Source organism: Homo sapiens, chromosome 19 (assembly GCF_000001405.40).
Source record: "Homo sapiens chromosome 19, GRCh38.p14 Primary Assembly".
Taxonomy (NCBI): Eukaryota; Metazoa; Chordata; class Mammalia; order Primates; family Hominidae; genus Homo; species Homo sapiens.
In genome coordinates, this window is record NC_000019.10 from 54,032,938 (window position 1) to 54,039,478 (window position 6,541).

Below are 6,541 nucleotides of genomic sequence, written 5' to 3' on the forward strand. Positions count from 1 at the left end.
CACTAGTTATTTTTCCTGATCCTCTCTCTGCTACCACCCTCCACCCTCTGACAGGCCCCAGCATGTGTGAAAAATTCTTATAGTCTTCTAGAAAATACAATAGGTAGCCTTTGGAACATAGGGTATCATAAAGAGAAGCTGTAGAAAATATATTTCTTTGAATTTTTTTTTTTTTTTTTTTTTACAAATGATCACTATAATGTTTAAAATATGTTTACCACCTACAGTTGTGTGCTAGGGAAGCCATAACAAAATGCCCCCCACTGGGGGGCTTATGGGACAGAAATGGATTTTCTCACCGTTCTGCAGGCTGGAAATCCAAGATGGAGGTGCCAGTAGGGTCAGTTTCTCCCGGGGTCTCTCTGCTTTGTATGCAGATGGCCGCCTTCTTGCTGTGTCTCCACGTGGTCTTTCCTCTGGATGTACATATCCTGGTGTCCTTTTCTTTTTTTTTTTTTTGAGTTGGAGTCTTACTCTGTTGCCCAGCTGGAGTGCAATGACACGATCTCAGCTCACTGCAGCCTCTGCCTCCTGGATTCAAGCGATTCCCCTGCCTCAGCCTATCGAGTAGCTGGGATTACAGGCGTGCACCACCGCGCCCAGCTAATTTTTGTATTTTTAGTAGACATGGGGTTTGGCCATGTTGGCCAGGCTGGTCTTGAACTCCTGACCTCAGGCGATCCGCCCACCTGGGCTTCCCAAAGTGCTGAAATTACAGGCGTGAGCCACCACACGTAGCCCCTAGTGTCTTTTTTATGTCCAAATTTCCTTTTTTCACAACGGCCTCTTGTCTCTAAATACAGTCACATTCTGAGTTACTGGGAGTTAGGATTCAGCACACGAATTTTGAGGAGATGTAATTCAGCCCATAATTAAGCCCTATCCTCATCAGACTGATGATCTGTGCTTTCTCTGAACTAACAGGATTTATATATTCCTTTTTAACAGCAAGGAACTCAGGTTCTCCATGGCCCCTTTATGAAGTTGCTCCTGCTGGTACATGACCCTCAGTTAGTTTCCTGAAGTTATTTACAAAGCCACCTCCACATGTGTTGAGCCTCTTCAGTTTACTTCAAATCCTGGGCCTGTGCTGCATGGCGGTGCTTTCCACAGATTCATATGTTAGATCTTTTCTATTTTTTTTTCTGAGACAGAGTTTCCCTCTGTCGCCCAGGCTGGAGTGCAATGGTGTGATCTCGGCTCACTGCAACCTCTGCCTCCTGGGTTCAAGCAATTCTCCTGCCTCAGCCTCCTGAGTAGCAGGGACTACAGGCGTGTGCCACTATTCCCAGCTAATTTTTGTATTTTTAGTAGAGGCAGGGTTTCACCATATTGGCCAGGATGGTCTCGATCTCTTGACCCCATGATCCTCCCACTTTGACCTCCCAAAGTGTTGGGATTACAGGTGTGAGCTACCGCGCCTGGCCACATATTAAATCTTTTTTTTTTTTTTTTTTTTTGAGACAGAGTCTTGCTCTGTCACCCAGGCTGGAGTGCAATGATGGATCTCGGCTCACTGCAAGCTCCGCCTCCCAGGTTCATGCCATTTTCCTGCCTCAGCCTCCCGAGTAGCTGAGACTACAGGCACCCGCCACCACACCTGGCTAATTTTTTGTATTTATAGTAGAGATATGTTAGCCAGGATGGTCTCGATCTCCTGACCTCATGATCCACCCACCTCGGCCTCCCAAAGTGCTGGGATTACAGGCGTGAGCCACCGCGCCCGGCCTCATGTTAAATCTTGACACCCAATGTGATCTGAGAGGTTGGGCCTTTGGTGATGGCAGCAGCCACTCCAGACGGCTTGCTGCTGCCATGACGCCACCTGCCCCAGGGAGGCCCAGCCCGGGCTATACACGCTATGGAGCCGCAGGGAGCCCTGCCCCTTCCGAGTTGGGGCGGGAGCTCCCAGGGTGATGCTACAGCTGTCCAAACCCCAGCTGTGGATCCGAGCCTCCCTCAGATCGTATCACATATCAAGACTTACTCTTGTTGACAAAAAGAGTCAAACTCTATAAAATATTTGAAGAGATTTATTCTGAGCCAAATATGATAATGACCATGGCCCCTGACACAGCCCTAAGGAGGTCCTGAGACCATGTACCCAAGGTGGTCGGGGGGCAGCTTGGTTTTATACATTTTAGGGAGGCGTGAGGCATCAATCAAACACATTTGAGAAATACATTGGTTTGGTCCAGAAAGGCTGGACAATTTGAAGGAGGCAGGGCCTTCCAGGCTTTAGGTAAATTAAAACATTTTCTGGTTGACAATTGGTTGAGTTTGTCTAAAGACCTGGGATTAATAGAGAGGAAATATTCAGGTTAAGATAAAAGATTGTGGAGACCAAGGTTCTTTTGAAGTCTTATAGTGGCTGCCCTTAGAGACAATAGATGACAAATGTTTCCTACTCAGACCTTCAAAAGTTGCTAGATTCTCAGTTAACCTCCTCAGGATTGGGAGGTCCTGGAGGAAAAAGATCTAGCAATGTTAACAGAGATCCTTTACATATGCAAATATTCCCCCCCACCAAGGACAGCTTTGCAGGGCCATTTAAAAATATGGCAAAGAAACATGTTTTGGGGTAAAATATTTTTATTTTCTTCTTTGTTAGGTAATGTTATGCCAGAGTCAGATTGGAAAGTAAGTCACGATATATAGGGCTAAATAAAACCCATCTGATGAGAATTTATGGTTTGTAGGGCATGAGACCCCAGACCCCTTAGATAAGAATCTGGGCAAGATAAAAAAAAAAAATCAGAGCTGAGTCCTCACTATGGTAATTCAGTGAGTGTGACTACCAGCATAGATGTCCATAAAGGATATCCATTAGGGCCACCCATTTTAATAATGTTTGCCAGGACCCTTCAATCAAAACAAAATCCATTCTCAGAATAGCTTAGAATCAAAGGAGGACTTTTTGGGTTTTTTTGGTTCAAGAAGGATTGGGCAAGAAAACTGCAGGGAGTGAAGGAATGCTGAGCTTTGGAAGCAATTAGAACCAAGAAAACAAAAGCTGAAAGCACTGTTACTCACTCCCGCTTCCCGGATGCTCCCTGAGTCATCTTTGTGTTTCTCCATAAAGACTGGCTTCCTCCACATGGCGAGACAGATGGCCACCAAGAACTCCCAAGCTTAAAAAAGAATGACTCTCTGTGGCAAGAAAACAAAGAGACACTCCTCCCCACCTTGCTACTCCCTATGTGGCCTCCACACTGCAACCTGGGACTGTGTAGTGAGGGGAGGGGGAGCGAAGAAGTTTGCGTTAGTCTGTTTTCACACTGCTGATAAAGACATACCTGAGACTGAGTAATTTATTTTTATTTTTATTTTTATTTATTTATTTTTTTGAGACGCACTCTGTCACCCAGGCTGGAGTGCAGTGGCACGATCTCCGCTCACTGCAAGCTCCGCCTCCCGGGGTCACACCATTCTCCTGCCTCAGCCTCCTGAGTAGCTGGGACTACAGGCGCCCGCCACCGCGCCCGGCTAATTTTTTGTATTTTTAGTAGAGACGGGGTTTCACTGTGTTATCCAGGATGGTCTCGATCTCCTGACCTCATGATCCACCCGCCTCGGCCTCCCAGAGTGCTGGGATTACAGGCGTGAGCCACTGCGCCCAGTCAGTTTACTTTTTAAAAAAGAGGTATAACGGACTTACAGTTCCACATGGCTGGGGAGGCCTCACAATCATGGCAGAAGGTGAAAGGCACATCTTACATGGTGGCAGACGACAGAGAAATGAGAGAGCCAAGCAAAAGGGGAAACCCGTTATAAAAACCTCAGCTCTCCTGAGACTTGTTCACTACCATGAGAACGGCATGGGGGAATGTGTGGGTGGAGGATTAGCCAGGTGCTGAGGCAAGAGACTGAAGGCACAAACTGTTGCAGTATAATAAAGAAAATAGAATAAGAATAGTCATAATACAAATTAGATGTAGAGATGATCATGGACAATTATCAATCATTATTATAAACATTATTAATCATTAGCTTTTAATATTACTCTTTGCTGCATTACTAATATAACCTAGGAATAACCGGCGGGTATAGGGTCAGGTGCTGAAGGGACATGGTGAGAAGTGACCTAGAAGGCAAGAGGTGAGCCCTCTGTCACGCGTGCATCAGGGCCGCTTGAGGGGTCCTTGGTCAAGCGGTAACGCCAGTGTCTGGGAAGGCACCCGTTACTTAGCAGACGGTGAAAGGGAGTCTCCTTTCCTTGGAGGAGTCAGGGAACACTCTGCTCCACCAGCTTCTTGTGGAAGGCTGGATATTATCCAGGCCTGCCCGCAGTCATCCGGAGGCCTAAACCCCTCCCTGTGGTGCTGTGCTTCAGTGCTCACACTCCTTGTCCACTTTCATGCTCCTCCCGTACTCCTGGCTCCTCTTTGAAGTTCATAGTAGATAGCGGTAGAAGAAATAGTGAAAGTCTTAAAGTCTTTGATCTTTCTTATAAGTGCATGGAAGAAAACGCTGACGTATGCTGCCTTCTCCCTCTCTCTCTGCTTCGGCTACCTAAGAGGGAAGGGCCCCCTCTCCTGTGATCACACGACTTGCTTCACCTTGTCAATCACTTCGAAGATTCACCCTGCTTACCCTGCCCCCTTATCTTGTATGCAATAAGTATCAGCGCGCCCAGCCGTTATGGGCCACTACCGGTCTCCGCGTCTTGATGGTTGTGGTCCTCCGGGCCCAGCTGTTTTCTCTTTATCTCTTTGTCTTGTGTCTTTATTTCTTACAATCTCTTATCTCTGCACACGGGGAGAACACCTGCAAAGCCCCATAGGACCCTGCAGGAATCCACCCCCATGATTGAATTATCTCCCACTGGGTCCATCCCACAACACATGGGAATTATGGGAGCTACAACTGAAGATGAGATTTGGGTGGGGACACAGACACAAGCCATATATCAAGGTTGTTCCTTCAGATGCAGCAATCCTGGGAGCTTCTGGTTAGGACAAGATACAAGCAGAGACAGCTTCATGGGTATTGTAAACTCAATGTTTGTGTCCCGACAAAATTCAGCTGTTGGAACCTAACCCCAAGGTGATGGTATTTGTAATACGGGAGCTAAAAAGAAATTATTGAGGCAGACAGTGAGGGTAAGAGAGTCCTCAGTAAGGTTTCCTATTAATAAAGAGCAGCCCCCAAATAATTTCTTTTCTAACAGAAAGCAGCCTGAAACATCAAGCTGCAAGCATAGATAAACAAGCTAAAATCTTGCATCAGCTGTGCCAATAGAAAACGGATGCCTGGGAGCCGGGTATATTCAACATGGAGGTTCCCTCTTCCCTTTTCTTTGTCCCCACATGTGCAGTAAAAAAGCAGACAACATGGCCCCGGCCAGGCAGAGACCCTACCTACGTAATAAAAGATTAGGGTGGGATGGCCAGCTTCTTTGGGGGCTATGCAAACGTCATACCTGGTCCGACTAATCTCTCAGGCCCTATGTAAATCAGACAGCACCTCCTCAAGCTTGTCTATAAAAGCCCCATGCATTTCACCACAAAACCAGGGGTCCCACTCGGGAACCCCTCTCTTCTCTGTGCAAAAGAGAGAACTATTCTCTTTTCTCTTTCTTTTGCTTATTAAGCCTTCACTCTTTTTTTTTTTTTTTTTTTTGAGATGGAGTCTGGCTCTGTCATTCAGGCTGGAGTGCAGTGGCACGATTTCGGCTCACTTCAACCTCCGCCTCCCAGGTGCAAGCAATTCTCCTGCCTCAGCCTCCCAAGTAGCTGGGATGACAGGCACCCACCACTGCGCCCAGCTAATTTTTATATTTTTAGTAGAGATGGGGTTTCACCGTGTTGGTCAGGCTGGTTTCGAACTCCTGATCTCAGGTGATCCGCCCCCCACTCGGTCTCCCAAAGTCCTGAGATTACAGGCGTGAGCCACTGCGCCCGGCCCAGTCTCTTTCACTATGTAAGGACACAGCAAGAAGGTGCCAGCTATGAACCAGGAAAAAAGCCCTCAGCAGACACTGAATCTACCAGTGCTTTGGTCTTGGACTTCCAGCCTCCAGAACCATGAGAAATAACTATGTGTTGTCTGTAAGCTGCCAGGTCTTTGGTATGTTGATAGCAGCCTGGATGGACTAAGACACTCTCTCCTTCCCTCTCATGCCCTGGACCCTCATCAGGGCCAGAAGTGGTTGGGGTGATGGCCCAAGCAGACTTTAAAAAGCACTGGCCTAGCACAAGGGTTGGCACGCTAGAGCCCACAGCTTGTTTTTGCAAATAAAATTTTTTGTTTTTAAAACAACTTTCTGGGCTGGGCACGGTGGCTCACGCCTGTAATCCCAGCACTATGGGAAGCCGAGGCAGGCGGATGACTTGAGGTCAGGAGCTCAAGACCAGCCTGGCCAACATGGTGAAACCCCATCTCTACTAAAAATACAAAAAAATTAGCCTGGTGTGATGGCAGAAGCTTGTAATCCCAGCTACTCAGGAGGCTGAGACAGGAGAATCATTTGAACCTGCGGGGAGAGGTTGCAGCGAGCTGAGATCACGCCACTGCACTCTGGCGCCTGGGCGACAGAGCA

The 6,541-nt window shown here is 47.4% G+C and overlaps 1 annotated feature.

The window, feature by feature from the left end:
• Positions 2,948-3,523: an enhancer, noted in NCBI's record as "OCT4-NANOG-H3K27ac hESC enhancer chr19:54539139-54539714 (GRCh37/hg19 assembly coordinates)". NCBI's record gives its function as "activates a minimal SCP1, AML or CMV promoter by ChIP-STARR-seq in primed H9 embryonic stem cells {active_cell/tissue: H9 hESC(primed)}" and the evidence as "EXISTENCE:reporter gene assay evidence [ECO:0000049][PMID:30033119]".